Source organism: Homo sapiens, chromosome 17 (assembly GCF_000001405.40).
Source record: "Homo sapiens chromosome 17, GRCh38.p14 Primary Assembly".
In the NCBI taxonomy this organism is placed as follows: domain Eukaryota; kingdom Metazoa; phylum Chordata; class Mammalia; order Primates; family Hominidae; genus Homo; species Homo sapiens.
In genome coordinates this window covers 759,330-782,350 of record NC_000017.11, presented here as the reverse complement: position 1 = coordinate 782,350, position 23,021 = coordinate 759,330, and the positions used below count along the sequence as shown (strand labels likewise).

The window sequence follows — 23,021 nt, the reverse complement described above, 5'->3', positions numbered from 1 at the left end:
AAGCGCGCCGTCGGCGGCTAGTGACGTCACGGCCCGTGGCGCCCTTCGTGGACTGGGCTGTACGGTGCGCGTGACGGCTGCGTGCGGCGGGAATCATGGCTGCTCGCAGAGCTCTGCACTTCGTATTCAAAGTGGGAAACCGCTTCCAGACGGCGCGTTTCTATCGGGACGTCCTGGGGATGAAGGTGCAGGCCGGGGCCGACAGGGGCTGGCGCGCGAGGCTGGAACCGGCGCCCGAGCCGGCCCTGGCGGAGGGAGGGGAAAATGGGTGTGTCGTGAACCTAAGCCGGAGGGTGTCCGACCTTAGGCCCTGCGCGGTGTTCAGCTTCAGGAGCGTGGCGAGTTGCCGTTGGGGATCATAGGCCTTGGAGAAGGGCCTAACACGATTAGTCCCCGCGGTGTGCCCACGCACGTCCTTTCATTTAAGCCACTCGTAAACGTTTATTGAGCCCCGCCCTTGTGGAGCTTACCGTCTACCGGAAAAGACGGTAAATAAAATGTTATATAATGCTTTCTAGTTAATATTTGTGTTTTCCGGTTTGGAGCCTTTGATGTAGATAAAATCAGCGTATTCAGAGTTCTGCTTCTAGCAAGGCTGGTCTGAATAGTCCGTTTCGGATACTCAGTCTCTGAATATATGCTCCAACTCTCAACCCATCTGCTTTTCAACAGCACCCAGAAGCGGTCTGTCTCGGGTCCTGAGGAGCTGTTATTTGCAGGATTCAGTTGGTTGGGGAACTGGGTTTTGGGGACCTCCTTTGATAAGCCAGGGAGGTAGGGAACACACCACTAAGGAAGACTTGAAAGGTGCAAGAGCGCGGTTTAGTGTATAGACGGTGCAATAGACGGGGATCTGAATTCGTCAGGTCATTTTTAAAATATCTGCTATTTTCAGGGTACTACGTTGAGTTTTGGCAACAAAGGTGCAAATGACCCTGATATATATCCTCCATTAGAGCTCATGGCCTGGGTTGGGGTGGGAGTTGGAACTGGATTTGTACGTAGATGATGGTAATGGAAGTCAGAATTTGATAGTGAAAAACCACCAAACTTTCGATAGCAGAAACCACAGAGCTGTCCCTTGTTAGTATTTCCTCGTCGATCAAAAGGTTGTTGCAAAGATTAAACACGTGCCGGCGCGGTGGCCCACGCCTGTAATCTCAGCACTTTGGGAGGCCAAGGCGGGTGGATCACTGGAGGTCAGGAGTTGGACACCAGCCTGGCCAACATGGTGAAACCCTGTCTCTACTAAAAATACAAAAATTAGCCGGGCATGGTGGCACACGCCTGTAATCCCAGCTACTCGGGAGGCTGAGGCAAGAGAATCGCCTGTATCTGGGAGGCGGAGGTTGCAGTGAGCCGAGATCGCACCATTGTGTTCCAGCCTGGATGACGAAAGCAAAACTCCGTCTCAAAAAAAAAAAAAAAAAAAAGATTCAACACCTTATTATATGTATAGTATTTAACATATCGGTAATAGTAGATTATATAAGTGTTAGCCACTATTATAAAAATACAAAAGAAGGAGCGGTTTTCCAACCTGGGTGATGAGGAAATAATTCATGTAGACCTTGTATTCGAGTTGACTTTTTTTTTTTTTTTTTTTTTTGAGGTGGAGTCTTGCTCTGTCGCCAGGCTGGAGTGCAGTGGCGCGATCTCGGCTCACTGTAAGCTCAGCCTCCCGGGTTCACACCATTCTCCTGCCTCAGCCTCCCGAGTAGCTGGGACCACAGGCGCGTACCACAACACCCGGCTAATTTTTAAAAATATTTTTAGTAGAGACGGGGTTTCACCGTGTTAGCCAGGATTCGAGTTGACGTCTAAAGATAGGATATCCACAGGTAGATGAGAGGAGGAGCTACATAGTAAAACTGAAGAGCCAGTGCGGAGATGGCACATGTTTGCGAAGCCGCTGGTTTTATGTGCCTTTAGTTGAGGTTGCTTAGTTGAAGTTAAGGAGATGGGATATCAGGATGGACAGGTCGGCATTGCTTCTAATAGTATCTTGAATGCTATGCTAAAGAATTTGGATTTTATGCTGCAGTAAGATGGGAGCTCACTTATGTTCTTAAACAGGGTGGTGATGGGATCAGTGCTTTGTGCTTTAGGCATGTGCTTTTTTGGTGTTATTAAGGAAGGATATCAATAAGGATTTTTTTATTTTTTATTTTTTATTTTTTTTATGTTGAGACGGAGTCTCGCTCTTTCGCCCAGGCTGGAGTGCAGTGGCGCAATCTCGGCTCACTGCAAGCTCCGCCTCCTGGGTTCACACCATTCTCCTGCCTCAGCCTCCCGAGTAGCTGGTACTACAGGCGCCCGCCACCACGCCCTGCTTATTTTTTGTATTTTTAGTAGAGATGGGGTTTTACTGTGTTAGCCAGGATGGTCTCGATCTCCTGACCTCATGATCCACCCACCTCGGCCTCCCAAAGTGCTGGGATTACAGGCGTGAGCCACCGCGCCCGGCCAATAAGGATGATTTTTAATAGTCTGAGCGAAGCGTTGGGAACTTCAACTGGCAGGAGCCGTGGGAATCAAAAAGGAGGGCTAAAGCTAACACGTTGAGAGCCCGCTGTGTGCAGGGTTCTGTGAGATGCTTTCATAACATCCATTCCCATCACATGTTAGGAGACTGAGACTCAGATTCTAATTTGCTCAGAGTTACACAACTACTAAATGACAGAATTCCAAATCAGACTTTTTTTTTTTTTTGAGTTTGAGTTTTGCTCTTGTCACCCAGGCTGGAGTGTAATGGTGCAATCTCAGCTCATTGCAACCTCTGCCTCCCGTGTTCAAGCAATTCTCCTACCTCAGCCTCCTGAGTAGCTGGGATTACAAGCGCCCACCACCATGCCTGGCTAATTTTGTATTTTTTATATTTTTAGTAGAGATGGGGTTTCACTGTGTTGGCTAGGCTGGTCTCGAACTCCCGACCTCAGGTGATCTGCCCACCTCAGCCTCCCAAAGTGCTGGGATTACAGGCGTGAGCCACGATGCCCATCTTTTTTTTTTTTTTTTTTTTTTTTTTTTTAATTTGAGATGGAATTTTGCTCTTGTCACCCAGGCTGTAGTGCAGGGGCACGATCTCGGCTCACTGCAACCTCCATCTCATGGTCCAAGTGATTCTCCTGCCTCAACCTCCTGAGTAGCTGGGATCACAAGCACACGCCACCACGCCTGGCTAATTTTTGTATTTTTAGTTGAGACGGGGTTTCACTATGTTTGCCAGGTTGATCTTGAACTCCTGACCTCAGGCAGTCCACCCACCTTGATCTCCCAAAGTGCTGGTATTATAGGCGTGAGTCACTGTGCCCGGCCCAAATCAGACTTCTTTAATGCTGAAGGCCACACTTTTTCCCACTGCATAGCACTGCTTACCAATCTAAATAGATTTCACAACTGATTTGGTAGCCTGACCCTTGGTGTCAAGCTGTTCGTCCTTCCACTGCTTCTATCCTGGGAGAAGTGTAAAGCTCATTTGCTTTTGTTCTTTTACAAGTAAAGCTTATAAATGATAATGTTTGTGTTTTGACATTTTAGTCTGTGCTAAAGACGCTGTGAGCAGTACTAGCAACACTTCACAATTTATTCTAAATCTCACACCAGGTTCTGCGGCATGAGGAATTTGAAGAAGGCTGCAAAGCTGCCTGTAATGGGTATGATACCTTGTTTCTTAAAATCTCCTTTAGGCTCTGACTACACCCGGATAACAGAAGACAGTTTCTCAAAGTGAGTATAAAGCAGTGGAATTAATTAAGGAGGCAGTAAATTAGGGAGGCAACTTCAGGAGCGTCGGGAACACATACTGTTTCTCTGCACTCTCATGAGTATAAAGCAGTGGAATTAATTAAGAAGGCAGTAAATTAGGGAGGCAACTTCAGGAGCGTCGGGAACACATTTCTCTGCACTCTCATACAACACCTGTGGGACACAAAGGGATTCTCCAGCTCTCTAACACCAGCCGGCTGTCCTGTTATTTAATTGATTCTGACTCTACCTGGAGTTAATGTCAGATCCTGCAAGTTAAGGGCTCAGTCCCAGAAGATTTTCCGCCACGTCAGGCGCCGGTCACAGTCTGGATCTTCAGGATTTCCGATGACCAACTACAAGTCAGGGCTCCCGCTCCTGCTTCCTTGGGTTTGATAGTCTGCTACAGTGGCTCATGGAACTAAGGGAAACGCTGGAAACACTTACTTACATTTACTGGTTTATCATAAAGAGTACGAGTCAGAAATGGCTGGACAGAGGAGATACACAGGGCAGGGCATGGGGAGTGGGTGGCAGAGCTTCCATGCTCTTCTGGGCAGGCTCCAATCCAGCACCTCCCTACGTTCAGCATCCCAGAAGCTCATGAGTCTCATTGTTCAAGCCTAATAGAGCCCAGTCTCCATCCCTTTCCTTCCCAGAGGTTGGTGGATGGGACTGAAAGTTCAGTCCTCTAATCATTTGTCTTTCTGGTGACCAGCCCCATCCTGAGTCTATGTAGAGGCCCCACTCTAAGTCACTTCATTAGCATAAACTCAGGTGTGACTGAAAGGGGCTCATTATGAATATAACAAAAGATATTCCTATCAGGAAATTCCAGAGGTTTTGGGAGCTCTGAGACAGGAACCAGGGACAATGACCAGATATGTTTCATATTATGCCACAAATGCAAATAAGTACATGCTCTAGATGAAGCAGCGGCTTTCCAGTATCTTTTTTTTTTTGAGACAGAATCTCACTTTGTCACCCAGGTGGGAGTGCGGGGTCATTATCCTGGCTCACTGCAACCTCTGTCTTCTGAGTTCAAGCAATTCTCCTCCCTCAGCCTCCCTAGTACGTGGGACTATGGGCATGTGCCACCATGCCCAGCTAATTTTTGTATTTTTAGTAGAGACGGGGTTTCACCATGTTGGCCAGGCTGGTCTCGAACTCCTGACCTCAGGTGATCCTCCCGCCTCGGCCTCCCAAAGTGCTGGGATTACAGGCCTGAGCCACCACGCCCGTCCATCTCTTAAGCTTAGTACCGTGACAAGTTGGAACAGTCCAAGGCCTATTAGGAATTTCATGCTTGTTGATTGATAGTCAAGGAAATAACAGGTCAGTTGGAGAACTGTCTTTAGGATTCTGTTCCTTGCTTTACAGAAAAGGTGAACAAATCTTTCCTTCAGGTAGATGCTGGATAGTCTTTGGAGCTTGTAGTAGGGTCCCATGAGCACTGCCCACAGCTGCTTTCTGTACCATCTGAGGTCATCTCATCCTTAAGAGAACTTTTAGGACCAGACAGGAATGCTCATCTCTCTGTGCCCAGTAGTTCTCTGGGGGTGGCCTGAGGCTGACTTGTCTGTAGTCACTGAGTTCATTTACTTTTATTTTCTAGGCCTTATGATGGGAAATGGAGTAAAACAATGGTGGGATTTGGGCCTGAGGATGATCATTTTGTCGCAGAACTGACTTACAATTATGGCGTCGGAGACTACAAGCTTGGCAATGACTTTATGGTAAATACCGTTTTTTTCTAGCAGAGTTTTGGCTGGGGGTAGGTGGCTGGTTGTAAATTTGAGTAGAGTGCCAAGGGTGTGTGTGAGTGAAGAGATAACATTTGAGCAGAGACTCAAAAGAGGTCAGGGAGTTAGCCACGTGGATATCTGGGGGATGCGCGTTCCAGGCAGAGAATATTCTGGCAAGAGCCGTCAGGTAACATCTGGCGTGTTCGAGGAGGTGTAAGGAAGCCAGTGTGGCTGGAATAGAGAACGAGAGGGGAGCGTGGTAAGAGATGGGGTCGGCAGTGCCATGGGGTAAGACTGCAGGGGGCCTCCTAGGCCGTAAGTCACCGAGTGAAATGAGCCATTGGCGGACTTTGAGCAAAGGGAAAACAAGGCTGGCTGCAGTCTGGGGGTGGACTATAGGATGCGTTTTGGAAAGTTTACTTTGGCTGCAGAGTGGGTAATGGATTTACAAGACTGGAGGCAGAGAGGCCATTATAATAAACCGAGCCAGAAACAAGGCTGGTCTTCTCAAAGCACACGTGTACATTTCTAGGCACTTTGATTAAATGTAAGGAAACCTTGATAGTTTGCTTATTTTTGTTTTGTTTGTTAAAAAAGCAAGAACAGGTCACCTTAAATAGGTAGCTAGCTGGCAGACCCAGGTAACATCAAGATTTCTGTGGCTAGATCTTTAGAATTAGAAGACGTTATCTTTGGTGTTAAATGAATCAGACTTCACTGGCATTTCAATTTCTGTCCTATTATTCACAAAGGTCTGAATGTTTGTGGGATAAAACATTGAAAACCTGTTTTTAAATCACTAGAAGAAAATGTTGGATGCCAGTTAAATCTTAGGTGATTTTACCTAAAGGCAGTAGGCAATAGGGGTTGGGCTCATTGTCTTGTTCTGTAAAATATCTGTTGTGATCATGTACTTGGATGTACTGTTGTTTGTTGTAGGGAATCACGCTCGCTTCTAGCCAGGCTGTCAGCAACGCCAGGAAGCTGGAGTGGCCACTGACGGAAGTTGCAGAAGGTGTTTTTGAAACCGAGGCCCCGGGAGGATATAAGTTCTATTTGCAGAATCGCAGTCTGCCTCAGTCAGGTAATTATACCAGAACCAGTAAAAGCCTCTGTCTAAAGGCATCTTTGGTGAAAGGAGAGTGAGGGCTGCCTGTCTTTTTTTTGTAGAGTCTGTGTTCACGTGACGTGTCTTCCCCAGCCAGTGCTTTTACCTGTTATCGGAGAGACTACATTCTCATATCAGAACTTAAATACATAGCAGTAGGGGATCTAGACTAGTTCTGTTCTACTGGTAATGTAGTGATTTATGATTCTTTCATCTGTAAATAACAGAAAACCCAACTACTTTGAACAGTTATAGAATCTTTTAGCTCACAGAGCAGGCATTCTATAGGTGGGAAAGATTTCAAGGTTAGATGATTCACCAGCTCCCCACATTTTCTCTTTCTACGTTCTGTTGTTCTCTGCGGGTACCTCTCCTAGAACTAGTCCCCTCAAGGTTGCAGGAGAGCTGCCAGGAGCAGGTGGGGCCACATGCTCCCACAATCCCATCTGGTAGGAGAGGAGATGCTGACTTCTTTTTGCTTTTTTTTTTTGAGACTCTGTCAGTCCGGCTGGAGTGTACTGGCATGATCTCTGCTCACTGCAACCTCTGCCTCCCGGGTTCAAGCAATTCTCCTTCCTCAGCCTCCCAAGTAGCTGGGATTATAGGCGCCTGCCACCACGCTCAGCTTTTTTTTTTTTTTTTTTAGTATTTTTATTAACTTTTAAAAATTATTTGTTTTTTGAGACGGAGTCTTGCTCTGTCGCCCAGGCTAGAGTGCAGTGCTGCAATCTCGGCTCACTTGCAACCTCCGCCTCCCAGGTTCAAGTGATTCTCCTGCCTCAGCCTCTCCAGTAGCTGAGATTACAGGCACATGCCACCACGCCCAGCTCATTTTTGTATTTTTAGTAGAGACAGGGTTTCACTATATTGTCCAGGCTGGTCTTGAACTTCTGACCTCACTTGATCCGCCTGCCTCAGCCTCCCAAAGTGCTGGGGTGACAGGCGTGAACCACCGTGCCCGGCCCTTTTTGCTTTCTTTTTAGGAGCAGAAGAAAAACTTTCCTAGAATCTTCCAGCAAACTTCCTGTTCAGATTTGATATACTGTGCCTGCTCCTAAACCAATCACTGGCAAGAGAAATAGGATCACCCCCAAACCATTTAGCCATGCCTCCTCTGGAGCCGAGGTCAGTTTCCCAGACTTGAGCGTGGGTACTCAGGGATGGCATGGAAGTGAGGAGCCCCCACGCTGACTGCCACACAGAACAAGAAGGAAACTTTGCAGGGTTTGTTTTGTTGACTGCAGAGGCAGCCTCATCAGTGTTTCATTTTGTATTTAATGCCTGCAAATTCAGCTACCTGCTCTGACAAAACAAAAGCAAAAACGGGGAAAATGCTGGCGAATGGCAAGGGCACTTGTGCCGACTCCCTTACTTGGTGAACGTATGCCTGCAAGTGGGCCTGAGAAGGGAGTCCTGGAAATTCTCCTTCTTCACTGGTCGGCCTCCTGTCCCCGATGCCCCCATGCTGAGTCTGTAGAATGTTCAGTGCTCCTTGTTTATCATCCGGTGCTCAGCAAAAGAAAGATCCGTCTGTTCCAGTGTGGGAGGCTAGACTTGGCTGTGTGGGACTCGTGGAGAGATGGTGTTTCTCTGCCTCACTGGTGATTTAAAGGGTGTTGATGGTGTTTTTTTGTTGATAGGTGATTGATCCTTTGCTGACTTTAAAACTTAACGCTTGCAGCTAGCTCCACCATCCATTTTTTCTCTCCAGCCTTAGTGATATTTCAGTGCTTAAAATAATAGAGAGCCCCATGGTGCTAAGAAGCTTTTGTTCTTTGGAATGGAAATCCCCTTGGGCATTTCTGGTTGACAATGTGGTCAGACCTTCTGTCCGGCTGGCATTCATCTTTCCTTTGAATTACCCACTTCTGTGCAGCTTCACCCACGCGTTAACTTCCTGTCCTGCGTCCCTTCAGGCTCCAAGTCAACTGGGATTTGTTGATTTTGAAGTAAATGGAAAGAAAAAAATGGAGCCTGCCAGGCGGAGGCACTTGTGAGAAACAGCGTCTTAATCCCAATATTGCTGTTCTAGCAAACAGGACTAAGGCAGTAAAGCCAAAGAAAAATGTACTGAATTTATCGTAGTCAGATGGAGACGTGGAACAGCTCTTTAGAAAGTCACTTTACAATGTGAAAAGTTTCCAGTAACAGTAGGTGTTTCAATATGACTTTTATTCTTTTTACAAAATAATCAAGTTTTTTCCTTAGACAAGCAGAGAAGCTGAAAAAAAACACACACACCCATGTACCCAGAGAGAACCACTGCTGACATTTTAGAGTATATCTTTCCAATCTTTTGTCAAAAATACGTATATATAATTAAGTGTATACATTTCTGTATATCCTTTTTTAGGAGTTCCATCGTATTATTACATTGTAGGAAGAGAAACAATTCTCTATTGTTGGATATTTATGTCGTTCCTAGTGTTTTATTGTTCTAAGCAACACTGGTGAATGTCTTTGTCGTAAAAGCCCTTCATACATCCACAATTACCTTTGGAGTGGCTGAAAATGGACTTGTTCTTTCAAAAGCAATGAGCACTTTTTAAAGCTTTTGGTACATTCCATCAAACTATTGCCCAGAAATGTACTGATTTACACTTGTATTACATGATTGTGATTTTCCCCTCTACACTAACACAGTTAACACTGCCAACTTTTAACATTATTTGCACATTAGTTAACAAAGGATTTTATGTGAATTCTAATTTCTTTGTTGTTTGGGGGCGTCGGGTTGAAATTTTTTTTTTTTTTTTGAGACAGAGTCTCGCTCTGTCGCCCAGGCTAGAGTGCAGTGGCGCGCTCTGGGCTCACTGCAAGCTCCGCCTCCCGGGTTCACGCCATTCTCCTGCCTCAGCCTCCTGAGTAGCTGGGACCACAGGCGCCCGCCAGCACGCCCGGCTAATTTTTTGTATTTTTAGTAGAGACGGGGTTTCACCGTGTTAGCCAGGATGGTCTCTATCTCCTGACCTCATGATCCTGCCACCTCAGCCTCCCAAAGTGCTGGGATTACAGGCGTGAGCCACCGCGCCCGGCCTGAATATTTTTTCGTATGTTATTTGACCATTCTAATTCCTTGTTTTGTGGATTATTGCTTTGTGCCTTTTGCCTATTTTTCTAGCATGTTCATTCTTTTCCTATTGATATTTACAGGTGATTTACATATTAAGGACTTTTTGTCCAATATATTGCAGTTGTTCCCCCTACTGTGTTGTATACTCTAGTTTTGATTGTAATTCCTTTTCTTGGTTGTTGTCTAGGAGTTTTCCATTTTGTGTAATTTATGTAGCAGAAGTTTTTTCTTCATAGTTTTTCTATCTTTGGTGTCAGGTTTAAAGAAAAATCTTCCTCTACTCCAAAATTGTATAAATAATCATCTGTATCTAGTATTTTCATGGTTTCATTCTCTAAACTTATTTTTTTAACCCATCAGGAATGTATTTTGTCATTTATTTCGAAGATGTAAGTTTTTCTTACCAAATGATTAGCCAGTCTTCTTAGCGCCGTCCATTGAATAATGAGGCTTTTCATACTGTCTTTGTTTTTTTTTTTTTTTTTTTTTTCGAGATAGGGTCTCACTGTCACCCAGGCTGGAGTGCAGTAGTGCAGTCTTGGCTCACTGCAGCCTCAACCTCCCGGGCTCAAGCGATCCTCCTGCTTCCATCTCTGAAGTGGCTGGGAATACACACATGAGCCACCACGCCTGTCTAATCTTTTTTTTTTTTTTTTTTTTTTTTGAGACAGAGTTTTGCTCTTGTCTCCCAGGCTAGAGTGCAACGGCGCCATCTCGGCTCACTGCAACCTCCGCCTCCCAGGTTCAAGCAATTCTCCTGTCTCAGCCTCCCGAGTAGCTGGGATTACAGGCGTGCGCCACCACGCCCAGCTAATTTTTTTTATTTTTTATTTTTAGTAGAGACAGGGTTTTGCCATGTTGGCCAGGCTGGTCTCAAACTCCTGACCTCAGGTAATCCACTTGCCTTGGCCTCCCAAAGTGCTGGGATTACAGGCATCAGCCACCACACCCAGCCAATTTTTTTAAAGTTTTCATACAGGCAAGGTCTCAGTGTTTTACCTGCATTGGTCTTGAATTCCTAGGCTCACGCAATCCTCCTACCTCAGTCTCCCAAAGTGCTGGCATTACAGGCATGGGCCGCTGCACCCAGCTTCATACTGGCTTAAAATCCCTTTCTTATCATAAACTGAATTTGTAAGTATACATGCGCATGTTTTGGTCTTTCTATTTTATTCTATTAAATTGATCTGTCTATTCCTGCTTTATTACCCAACAGATCCTGTATTAAAAGTAACTCTAGCAGTGTCTGATCTTCAAAAGTCCTTGAACTACTGGTGTAATCTACTGGGAATGAAAATTTATGAAAAAGATGAAGAAAAGCAAAGGGCTTTGCTGGGCTATGCTGATAACCAGGTGAGCAATCTTGGAGAAGAATAACCTGTTACTTTGAATTTGGCTTGTAAACGAAGCTTATAAATGGCTTATAACCTTTATAAATGAAGTTAACATGAAGGTTGTTCCCATAGTTTCTTCACAGTGATTCAATATTTATATAGATAAACAGAAGAAAATAAGTGATAACCTTACCACCCAGATATTACCTTGTTTATATTTGGGGATATATCTCTTCAGAAGTGGAATTGCTTAATCCAAGAGATTGAATGGATTTAATGCAAGATCTTTTTCATCTTCTTTTTCTAATAACCCAGCGTTTGAGCACGATTTAGTCCTTGCACTTTGACCCTGCAATTCTACTCCTAGGAATTATTTTACAGATGTGCTCAACATACATCGGCACAAAGAAGTGTGTGCAAGGTTATCTGCTGCAGCATTGTCTGTAATCACAATGTGTAAGAATTTCAGTGTCCTATAGATTAGAGACATATTTCAGTAATTTACGGCTCATTCATGGAATGGATTACTATGTCGCTAGCAAAAAGATTGAGGCAAATCTTTATGTATTGACATGGTAACATTAAGTGGAGAAAAACAAGGAACAGAATAATTTGTAAATTATACCACCATTTGTGTAAAAAAAAAAACATAGATGCGTGCAGTGCTTCTAGAAGGATACACAGGAAAGTGTGGACTAGTTGTCTCTGGGGTGAGAGTAGGATAGAGACTCAGTTTTTACTTTATTCCTTTAGTATATAATATTTGAATTTTTCTACCACATACGTGTAATGAATGTATAACCTGTTCCAAAAAATAACCCCCTTTCCTATTTCAGTGTAAGCTGGAGCTACAGGGCGTCAAGGGTGGGGTGGACCATGCAGCAGCTTTTGGAAGAATTGCCTTCTCTTGCCCCCAGAAAGAGGTAACGCTTGATACCAGATCGTTTGAGCTTTCTGACTAGCTAGTTCAACCCAGCTAAGAACTTTGTCCTTCCCTTCTTGAGGTCCTTTTTGATTGTGGCTTTAGTATCAAGTTCAGCAGTTGTTTCAAGAGCAGCTGAGATAATAAATTCAAACAAATGGCGCCTTGGTTCTTTATGGTATCTGATACTCCTCTAGGACTGACGAGGGCCGTGTCCTGAGTAGTGTGTGACCCCTGGCTCACGTTGCCTCTGTTTTCCTCAAGTTGCCAGACTTAGAAGACTTGATGAAAAGGGAGAACCAGAAGATTCTGACTCCCCTGGTGAGCCTGGACACCCCAGGGAAAGCAACAGTACAGGTGGTCATTCTGGCCGACCCTGTAAGTATTTCTCAGGCAGGGGGCAGGCTGGACCAGGGGTTTCTTCAAGGATGTCTTTGGCAGGTGTCTTTTCTCTTTATTGGTGTAGGACGGACATGAAATTTGCTTTGTCGGGGATGAAGCATTTCGAGAACTTTCTAAGATGGATCCAGAGGGAAGCAAATTGTTGGATGATGTGAGTCCCATTTCTACATTTATGTCACCATGGGCCTGAGAGGGATGGCATTAAGTGTGTGTGGGAGGAGACTAAGCAACAGGGTCCAGGTTCTTAATGTCAGAACCACGTCCTTTCGCTGTTGGGTTGACCTCAGCCAAGGACCGATGTCTTCACTGCCACCTGTGTAGACTGCTTGTCTAGACTTAGCATTTGTGCCTTACCACAACCTCAGGCTGCCCTGGAACCACTGCTGGTGGATCTGTGCTTATTCTGCTCTCCACATGGAGATGCCTCTATCCGACCCCCTCAGCTCTCCCCATGGAGATGCCTCCATCCGACCCCCTCAGCTCTCCCCATGGAGATGCCTCCATCCGACCCCCTCAGCTCTCTGCATGGAGATGCCTCCATCTGACCCCCTCAGCTCTCCCCATGGAGATGCCTCTATCCGTTCCCCTCAGCTCTCGCCAGGGAGATGCCTCCATCCGACCCCCTCAGCTCTCCCCATGGAGATGCCTCCATCCGTTCCCCTCAGCTCTCCGCATGGAGATGCCTCCATCCCATCCCCTCAGCTCTTGCCATGGAGATGCCTCCATCCGTTCCCCTCAGCTCTCCCCATGGAGATGCCTCCATCCCATCCCCTCAGCTCTCCCCGTGGAGATGCCTCCATCTGACCCCCTCAGCTCTCCCCATGGAGATGCCTCCATCCGTTCCCCTCAGCTCTCCCCAGGGAGATGCCTCCATCTGATCCCCTCAGCTCTGCAGCTCCTTTGATCATCTCTTCTCCATTCTGCAGCATCAGTCTCTTCTTTCCAGTGAGTTATTCTCGCCAGCGTGCAAACAGGCGCTGAAAGCTCCCATCCTTTAAAAACCTTTTACTGACCCCATATCTCCTCTCCAGATTTCTCCTTCTAAAAATCTGAGTGCGCACTGTTTCTCTCTCTCACATCCTCTCCAGATTTCTTCTTCTAAAAATCTGAGTGCGCGCTGTTTCTCTCTCTCACATCCTCTCCAGATTTCTTCTAAAAATCTGAGTGCGCGCTGTTTCTCTCTCTCACGTCCTCTCCAGATTTCTTCTTCTAAAAATCTGAGTGCGCGCTGTTTCTCTCTCTCACATCCTCTCCAGATTTCTTCTAAAAATCTGAGTGCGCGCTGTTTCTCTCTCTCACGTCCTCTCCAGATTTCTTCCTCTAAAAATCTGAGTGCGCGCTGTTTCTCCCTCTCACGTCCTCTCCAGATTTCTTCTTCTAAAAATCTGAGTGCGCGCTGTTTCTCTCTCTCACGTCCTCTCCAGACTTCTTCTTCTAAAAATCTGAGTGCGCGCTGTTTCTCTCTCTCACGTCCTCTCCAGATTTCTTCTAAAAATCTGAGTGCGCGCTGTTTCTCTCTCTCACGTCCTCTCCAGATTTCTTCTAAAAATCTGAGTGCGCGCTGTTTCTCCCTCTTATGTCCTCTCCAGATTTCTTCTAAAAATCTGAGCGCGCGCTGTTTCTCTCTCTTACGTCCTCTCCAGATTTCTTCTTCTAAAAATCTGAGTGCGCGCTGTTTCTCTCTCTCACGTCCTCTTCAGATTTCTTCTTCTAAAAATCTGAGTGCGCCCTGTTTCTCTCTCTCACATCCTCTCCAGATTTCTTCTAAAAATCTGAGTGCGCGCTGTTTCTCTCTCACACATCCTCTCCAGATTTCTTCTTCTAAAAATCTGAGTGTGCGCCGTTTCTCTCTCTCACGTCCTCTCCAGATTTCTTCTAAAAATCTGAGTGCACGCTGTTTCTCTCTCACACATCCTCTCCAGATTTCTTCTTCTAAAAATCTGAGTGCGCGCTGTTTCTCTCTCTCACGTCCTCTCCAGATTTCTTCTTCTAAAAATCTGAGTGCGCGCTGTTTCTCTCTCTCACGTCCTCTCCAGATTTCTTCTAAAAATCTGAGTGCGCGCTGTTTCTCTCTCTTACGTCCTCTCCAGATTTTTTCTAAAAATCTGAGTGCGCGCTGTTTCTCTCTCTTACGTCCTCTCCAGATTTCTTCTTCTAAAAATCTGAGTGCGCGCTGTTTCTCTCTCACATACTCTCCAGATTTCTTCTAAAAATCTGAGTGCGCGCTGTTTCTCTCTCTCACATCCTCTCCAGATTTCTTCTAAAAATCTGAGTGCGCGCTGTTTCCCTCTCTTACGTCCTCTCCAGATTTCTTCTTCTAAAAATCTGAATGCGCGCTGTTTCTCTCTCTCACGTCCTCTCCAGATTTCTTCTTCTAAAAATCTGAGTGCGTGCTGTTTCTCTCTCTCACGTCCTCTCTAGATTTCTTCTTCTAAAAATCTGAGTGTGCGCTGTTTCTCTCTCTTACGTCCTCTCCAGATTTCTTCTCTAAAAATCTGAGTGCGCGCTGTTTCTCCCTCTTACGTCCTCTCCAGATTTCTTCTTCTAAAAATCTGAGTGTGCACTGTTTCTCTTTCTCGCCTCCCATTTTCACTTCAGTCTGTTTTGCACTGGCTCTTGTTACTCAGTGAAGTGCTTTTGTTTCTTGCCAAATATAGCAACTACTTTTAGATTCTCATCAAACTCAGTAATTCAGAAGCATTCAAAGTAGTTGTTGGATCCTAGCTCCTAGCACATACCTGGCATGTACTAGACGTTCTGCAAATACTTTGTTGAATGATTAAAGGAACAAATTGGTCTTTCTTGGTTCTGTCACGTAACTCTGTGACTGACCTTAAACAGTTGACTTAAATTCTTTGAACTTTAGTCTTCTTATCCAAAAATTTCAGAAAATAAGAGGATCTATCTCATAAGATTGTTATGGTTTATAGAGCTTGGCAAATTACTGACATAATAGTAGATGCACAATTAACGTTAAAGCAGGCAATGTATAGAAAATACAGTCTTTATACATTTTATCCTGAAGGAAAGTAGAATCTGTCATCCTCTCAGCTGACAAATTTGCCAGACTCTTCCTCCTCGCTCTTAATTTAATTAAATTAATTACTGAATTAAATTTTTTGAGATGGAGTCTAGCTCTGTCGCCCAGGGTGGAGTGCAATGGTGCAATCTTGCCTCACTGCAACCTTCGCCTCCCAGGGTCAAGCGATTCTTCTGCCTCGGCCTCCCAAGGAGCTGGAACTACAGGCACTTGCCACCATGCTGGCTAATTTTTGTATTTTTAGTAGAGACAGGGTTTTGCCAGGTTGGCCAGGCTGGTCTCAAACTCCTAGCCTCAAGTGATCTACCCACCTCATCCTCCTAAAGTGCTGGGATTACAGGTGTGAGCCACTGTGCCTGGCCCATTTTATTTTATTTATTTTTTGAGACGGATTCTTGCTCTGTCAACTAGGCTGGAGTGCAGTGGCATAATCTTGGCTCACTGCAACCTCCACCTCCCGGGATCAAGCGATTCTCCTGCCTCAGCCTCCCAAGTAGCTGGGATTACAGGCACGTGCCACCACGCCTGGCTAATTTTTGTATTTTTAGTAGAGACGGGGCTTCACCATGTTGGCCAGGATGGTCTTGAACTCCTAACTTCAGGCGATCCGTCTGCCTTGGCCTCCCAAAGTGCTGGGATTACAGGCGTGAGCCACCACGCCTGGGCCCATTTTTTTTTTTTTAAGACGGGGTCTCTCTCTGTCACCGAGGCTGGAGTGCAGTGGCATGATCTCAGCTCACTGCAACCTCCGCCTCCTATGTTCCAGTGATCCTCCCACCTCAGCCTCCCTAGTAGCTGGAACCATAGGCGTGCGCCACCATGCCTGGCTAATTTTTGTATTTTTTCTAGAGATGGGGTTTCACCATGTTGCCCAGGCTGGTTTCAAACTTCCTGGGCTCAATCATTCGATCCATCTTGGCCTCCCAAAGTGCTGGGATTATAGATGTGAACCATTGATGAACTCCTGCTCCCTGAGCTCTCTTCTCCTCTGCTGTTAGCGATCCTGCCATTTTTCTTTTTTTTGAGTTGGGAGTCTCACTCTCTTGCCCAGGCTGGAGTGCAGTGGCGCGATCTCAGGTCACTGCAACCTCTGCCTCCCAGGTTCAAGCAGTTCTCTTGCCTCAGCCTCCTGAGTAGCTGGTAGCTGGGATTACAGGCACGCACCACCACACCTGGCTAATTTTTGTATTTTTAGTAGAGATGGGGTTTCACCATGTTGGTCAGGCTGGTTGAGTAGGCCGGGTGCGGTGGCTCACACCTGTAACCCCAGCCCTTTGGGAGGCCGAGGCGGGCGGATCACAAGGTCAGGAGATCGAGACCATCCTGGCTAACACGGTGAAACCCTGTCTCTTGAACTCCTGACCTCAGGTGATCCACCCTCCTCGGCCTCCCAAAGGGCTGGGATTATAGGCGTGAGCCACTGCGCCTGGCCATCCTACCATTTTCATCTTCCTGACAGTTTCTCCTCAGACACGGGCACCTCTTTCTGTGTCTCATCCCAAAGTGTTTTTATACCCATAGCCCTACTTTGCTGTTTTTCCCATTCTGCATTCTTCCTCCACTCTGATGAGAGCTTACCTGCGACCTCTCCTTACCTCTGCCCTGAACGTAACCATCATCCTGGCTCCAGCCTCCTCACTTCCAGTTTTTAACTCCTTCCTCAGCTCAGACAGGTGGTTGTTGTTGATGAGGCATAATTTAGGTAGAATTTAAATGTGTTTTGACGGTTGTGTTTACTCATACAACCACTACTCAGAATACAGACCATTTTCCCAGGAAGTTCCCTCATGCCCATCTCCAGTGAGTTGGCACCTTCATCTCCCAGATCAGCTGCTATTCTGACTTCTGTCACTGTAGGTGAGTTCGTTCTTGGACTTCATACAAATGGAGTCATTCAGTATTTTCTTTCCTTTTGTGCCTGGCTGCTTTTACTCACCATGGCTTTTTTTGTTTTTTGTTTTTTGTTTTTTTTTGAGACGGAGTCTCGCTCTGTCACCCAGGCTGGAGTGCAGTGGTACAATCTCTGCTCACTGCAAGCTCCGCCTCCCGGGTTCACGCCATTCTCCTGCCTCAGCCTACCGAGTAGCTGGGACTACAGGCACCTGCCACCTCGCCCGGCTAATTTTTTGTATTTTTAGTAGAGACGGGTTTCACCGTGTTAGCCAGGATGGTCTCGATCTCCTGACCTTGTGATCCACCCACCTTGGCCTCCCAAAGGGCTGGGATTACAGGTGTGAGCCACCGCGCCCGGCCTACTCAACATGGTTTTGAGATTCCACCATGTAATTGCATATCACAGCTCTTTTTTTTTTAATTGCTGACTGATACTCAATTTTATGAATATAACAATTTGCTCATTCATTCTTATAATGGTGGACATTTGGTTTATTTCTAGATTTTTTAATCTATTATAAGGAAGACTGCCATGAACATTCTAGTGTAAATCTTCTTGTAGATAGATGTTTCATTTCTCTTGAGTAAATACCTAGGAGTAGAACTGCTTTTACTGTATAAGAAAGTGTCAAACAGTCATCGAAAGTGATCGGACCATCGTTTGTCCACGAGAGGTCCAGTAGGTCTACATTCTCACCAACACTTATTTTGCTTTTTGTGGGTTTTTTAGCTATTCTAGCACATGCGAAATGGTTTCATTGGTGCAATCAAGCGATCCTTCTGCCTCAGCCACCACATAGCTAGGGCTGCAGCACTATGCCCAGCTGATGTTTTTTATGTTTGTAGAGACAGATTCTCACTGTGTTGCCCAGGCTGGCCTCCAGTGATCCTTCCAGCTCGGCCCCACAGAGGTTTAATTTTTATTTCCCTGATGACTAATGATATTGAGCACCTTCTCATGTGCTTATTAGCCATTTACTTATTTTTGTGAATTTTATGTTCAAGTCTTTTGTCCATTCTTTAATAATTTTTAATATTTCATGATGAAAATTCCAAATATGCACAACCGAAGAGAGTACGACAGAGCCTTACGTGACTCTTACCTTGACTCTGTACTGTAGTTTTTCATCATTCCTTCGTCACTTGCAAATTCAAGTATTTTTCCCAGCCATTAATTGAGTTTTTGAAGATGAGGAATTTTTTATTTTGGTGAAGTCCAGCTTATGAACTTTTTCTCTTACATGTAGCACTTTCTCTGTCCAGACCGATGTTATATCCTGAGAACCTCTTCACCTAGGAAACCTACCACATATCAGACTCAGCGTGTCCATAACTTATCTTACCTCAAATCCATTCTTCTTCCAGTAATATTACATAAAGGCTACTTGGGAGTGTAGATTCTGGGAAACCTGAATCTATGTTCCCGGGCTGCAGTCTTCAAGCTTGGCCCAGATGAACTCTCTATTTATACTAAAAATATGTAAATAAATAAAAATAAAAAGAAATAAATGCTACTATATCGGTACGTTCTTAAGTGCTTTATTTTTATTTATTTATTTATTTTTTGAGATGGAGCCTCACTCTGTTGCCCAGGCTAGAGTGCAGTGGTGTGATCTCAGCTCACTGCAGCCTCCGCCTCCCAGGTTCAAGTGATTCTCCTGCCTCAGGAGAGTAGCTGGGATTCCCGAGTAGCTGGGATTACAGGCACCCGCCACCATGTCCAGCTAATTTTTGTATTTTTAGTAGAGACAGGGTTTCACCATTTTGGCTAGGCTGGTCTCGAACTCTTGACCTCAGGTGATCCACCTGCCTCAGCCTCCCAAAGTGCTGGGATTACAGATGTGAGCCACCGCATCCAACCTTAAGTGCTTCATATACATTCTCTGATTTTTTTTTTTTTTTTTTAGACGGAGTCTCGCTCTGTCGCCCAGGCTGGAGTGCAGTGGCGTGATCTCGGCTCACGGCAAGCTCCGCCTCCCGGGTTCACACCATTCTCCTGCCTCAGCCTCAGCCTCCCGAGTAGCTGGGACTACAGGCGCCCACCACCACACCTGGCTAATTTTTTTGTATTTTTAGTAGAGACGGGGTTTCACCGTGTTAGCCAGGATGGTCTCGATCTCCTGACCTCGTGATCCGCCTGCCTCGGCCTCCCAAAGTGTTGGGATTACAGGCGTGAGCCACCGCGCCCAGCCACATTCTCTGATTCTTAATATAACCTGCAAGGTTGATAGCATCAGCCTTTGCAAATGAGGAAACCGAGGCTAAGAATGAGTAAGTCATTGGCCCTCACCCTTGAATACCATACACTGAGTAAGTGGCAGGCAGGGGCCTGGATGGTGATGAAATTATTCCCCTTCATCCCTGAAGATCACGCACTGAGTAGGTGCAGGCCGGGGCCTGGATGGTGATGAAATTATTCCCCTTCATCCCTGAAGATCACACACTGAGTAGGTGCAGGCAGGGGCCTGGATGGTGATGAAATAATTATTCCCCTTCATCCCTGAAGATCACGCACTGAGTAGGTGCCGGCCGGGGCCTGGATGGTGATGAAATTATTCCCCTTCATCCCTGAAGATCACGCACTGAGTAGGTGCCGGCCGGGGCCTGGATGGTGATGAAATTATTCCCCTTCATCCCTGAAGATCACGCACTGAGTAGGTGCAGGCCGGGGCCTGGATGGAAGCCTTTCAGGCTTTACAGTTAGTCCTTTTTCTTCCTCTGCGCCCTGCTCCCTCCCTGGACAGTACAGCGTGTCTGTGATCCCAGTTGTTCACGCTGGAATCCTCAGAGCCAGTTTTGGTGTTATTTTGTTGTGTTTTGTTTTTTAACATTTAATAGTCGTTTTAGATTTACAGACAGTCACTTTTGACCATTATTTCTCCTCATCCTTAAATTATTTTAGCTATTAGTCACCAAGAGCTGTGAGTTCTACCTCTGAAATGTCTTCTGCCTATCAGCTTTCCCTTTGAAAGGCCTCATTGTCAACTTACGGTCTGTCCCAAAGCAAACAGCCAGTAATTTTTAAAACCGTTTAATCCGATAGCTCTCTCTTGCCTCTGAGATAAATTTCAAACTCTCTGACAGAGCATGTGACATTTTTGGACATTCTCTACCCTCTGACCTTCTTTCCCACCTGCCTCCCTAAGTCCCCTAACTCATCCCTATTCCAGTCCCACTGAACTGGTTATATTAGCTAAGATACTTCTTCTTGCATCCAACCCAAAGGGTTTTTTCCCTCTCCTCTTTTACTTGTCCTTCAACACTTAAAAGCTTTCTTAGGTTCAGCCGGGCGCGATGGCTCACCCCTGTAATCCCAGCACCTTGGGGGACCAAGGCGGGTGGCTCACCTGAGGTCAGGAGTCCCAGACCAGCCTGACCAACATGGTGAAACCCTGTCTCTACTAAACACAAAAAATTAGCCAGGCACGGTGGTGTACGCCTGTAATCCCAGCTACTTGGGAGGCTGAGGCAGGAGAATCACTTGAACCCAGAAGGCAGAGGTTGCAGTGAGCCGAGATGGCGCCGTTGCACTCCAGCCTGGGCGACAAGAGCAAAACTCCATTTCAAAAAAGAAAAAAAGCTTTCTTAGGTTCTCCAAATAATTTAGTTGTTCTTTCCTCCCACTTTTTATGGCTCCTAAAAGACAGAAACGTGCATATTTGTGACTTGTGGTTTTTTTAAGCATATCTTTGATTTTTAAATTCTTATTTTCATCAAGATAATAAATCAGATAGTACTAAGATTTTTTAGAAATGAAACGGTCCAACTCTGAGTCACACTACCTAGGACAGCCACTTTCACCTTCACTGTTTCTAAATAATAAATATATTTGTTTCTTCTTTTTCAATTGCCACCTCATCTTGTGACTTCCTGCTGAGGTAGATATTATAGCAAATGCTTCAAGACACACACATGCGTACACACACTCTGTCATGCAAAATACTTGTTTCCATATCTGAGTTCTCAGCTGTTCTGCACACTCCTCAAAGCTTCCGACTGTCTCTGCTGCCACATCTGAACCCAGCGTGGTACCTGGCTCTTTTTGACTACATAAATGAGTGTTTGTCCTTACTAAACAACGAAAGGGATGCTTGTGGAACCAAAACATTATTGTTAAGGCTTTGTATTATTCATTTATTTTTATTTGTATCTGTATGTATGTATATGAGACGGGGTCCCACTCTGTTACACAGGCTGAACTCGAATTCCTGAGCTCACGTGATCCTCTGGCCTCAGCCTCCAAGTGGCTGTGACTATAGGTGTGACCACTGGGCACGGCTTAAGGCTTCCTTTTTAATTAAGATGCCCAAACTAAACAGAACCAACATCAGAAGAGTAGGCCGGGAGGAGACTTACGAAAAAGGAATCATTCCAGGCTTCATCACTAAAACATCACGTAGAGTTTCATATTTGGCCTCACTATCAGACTGAGTTTCATGACACTAAAGATTCTTGAGCGTCTGCCCAGATGCTGTGAGTGGCAGGACTTGCTCTTTTACCAGAGATCCTACCGCCTGGCATGCGGGTCCCTGACCTCGTTGGTCCGCCAGCCACACTTCCTGGCTACAGGCTTGGTTTGCCCTTGACTCTGCCGAGTGAGGATCCACAGTTGCTCATTATCACCAGTATCTCTTGCCTTATTGAACATAACACTCTGTACTGGATTAATACTCTTTAAATGTTAAAAAATTTTTTTTATTTCTCTTCTCTTTTTTTTGGAGCGGGGGTTTGGGTCCTTTTTTTAATGTTAATTTTTTTTATTGTGGTCAGTACAGTGAGATATAAAGTGGGCTATGTCTTTTGTTTTTCAGGCTTGGAGTCAGTGTATATTCTATTTCTATTTTACAGGCAATGGCAGCAGATAAAAGTGACGAGTGGTTTGCCAAACACAATAAACCCAAAGCTTCAGGTTAACGGAAGACATGATGCAGAGCAAGCCTCTGTGATTCCTGCCCAGCACCTGTGAGGCCTGACGTGTCAGTTCCCAATAAATGCTCTTCTGATTTGTTTCCCGTACAGGCAAGGAGGCTTGGGTAGTGCAGATTTGTGTATTTCAATCTTTGAAAGCTCTGATGTAATTTAGAAATGAAATCCAATCATGAGTCCAGGTAGAGAACGCCTGCTGTAATCTACACTGTTGCTGGGACTGCGCATTCTGTATATAACTGTGTTGGATGAGTGACAGATGATTGTCCAGACTAGGACAGCGGCATGAACATGACTTTGGTTGGGATTGCGGATAGTTAGGGTTACCTCTGAATCGTGTAGCTTTTATGAGAGCAGCTGTGCAAGTGAATCCACATTAATGCCTTGTCGTGGTGCCATTCCCAGCGCCTGACGATACGCTCTTCTATTGTCTTATTCTGGCAGGTTTTGACGTTTTAAATTTTTTAAAGAAATTTTATTCCTTGGACCAAAAGGTTTGGTTAACCACCCCCCTCTTACTTGCTTTCACATTTTGAGTGTCCAGAGGAAACAGAAAGGAATGAGTGTGTGACGTTGCTGCACGCCTGACTCTGTGCGAGCTTCTTTCTGTGTATATATTTTGTTTTATTTTTTTCCGTGTATATTTTTAATCCCGACAGAACATCATGTGAGATTTCTTTAAAATGGATTAAACGATTTCTTCAGCCTGAAAAAAAAGGTTTTGAAAATGTTTTCTTGTAGTTTTGTTTGGTTCTAAACAACAAATAGGTTTTAATCACTCGAAATGGAATTATATTGTGTATTCATTGAATAAATTTTTTTTGAAAGTAA

The 23,021-nt window shown here is 45.3% G+C and overlaps 1 protein-coding gene across 18 annotated transcripts in view, besides 4 other annotated features; it reads left to right on the top strand.

Moving 5' to 3' along the window:
* Positions 1-19: part of an enhancer, noted in NCBI's record as "NANOG-H3K27ac-H3K4me1 hESC enhancer chr17:685572-686120 (GRCh37/hg19 assembly coordinates)", that runs on past the window's edge. NCBI's record gives its function as "activates a minimal SCP1, AML or CMV promoter by ChIP-STARR-seq in naive H9 embryonic stem cells {active_cell/tissue: H9 hESC(naive)}" and the evidence as "EXISTENCE:reporter gene assay evidence [ECO:0000049][PMID:30033119]".
* Positions 1-40: part of a biological region, named in NCBI's record as "NANOG-H3K27ac-H3K4me1 hESC enhancer GRCh37_chr17:685572-686120", that runs on past the window's edge.
* Positions 1-40: part of an enhancer, noted in NCBI's record as "active region_11441", that runs on past the window's edge. NCBI's record gives its function as "activates an Ori minimal core promoter by ATAC-STARR-seq in GM12878 lymphoblastoid cells {active_cell/tissue: GM12878}" and the evidence as "EXISTENCE:reporter gene assay evidence [ECO:0000049][PMID:35858748]".
* Positions 1-23,021, top strand: part of GLOD4 (glyoxalase domain containing 4) — a 26,566-nt gene extending 3,545 nt beyond the window's left edge. Inside the window, exons 1-10 of one of the 18 annotated variants that reach the window (NM_001366247.2) lie at positions 71-185; positions 1,613-1,667; positions 3,690-3,729; positions 5,363-5,483; positions 6,432-6,576; positions 10,890-11,026; positions 11,844-11,930; positions 12,194-12,307; positions 12,396-12,482; positions 22,113-23,021. In NM_001366247.2, coding sequence (NP_001353176.1) covers positions 96-185; positions 1,613-1,667; positions 3,690-3,729; positions 5,363-5,483; positions 6,432-6,576; positions 10,890-11,026; positions 11,844-11,930; positions 12,194-12,307; positions 12,396-12,482; positions 22,113-22,178 — 942 coding nt within the window. In that variant the 5' untranslated portion in view covers positions 71-95 and the 3' untranslated portion in view covers positions 22,179-23,021. Of the gene's footprint in view, positions 1-70; positions 489-1,612; positions 1,738-3,606; positions 3,730-5,362; positions 5,484-6,431; positions 6,577-10,889; positions 11,027-11,843; positions 11,931-12,193; positions 12,308-12,395; positions 12,483-18,511; positions 18,790-22,112 lie in introns of those variants that run through there. The other 17 variants (NM_001389729.1, NM_001389726.1, NM_001389725.1 and 14 more) reach the window with 17 other exon arrangements.
* Positions 1,041-1,140: an enhancer, noted in NCBI's record as "active region_11440". NCBI's record gives its function as "activates an Ori minimal core promoter by ATAC-STARR-seq in GM12878 lymphoblastoid cells {active_cell/tissue: GM12878}" and the evidence as "EXISTENCE:reporter gene assay evidence [ECO:0000049][PMID:35858748]".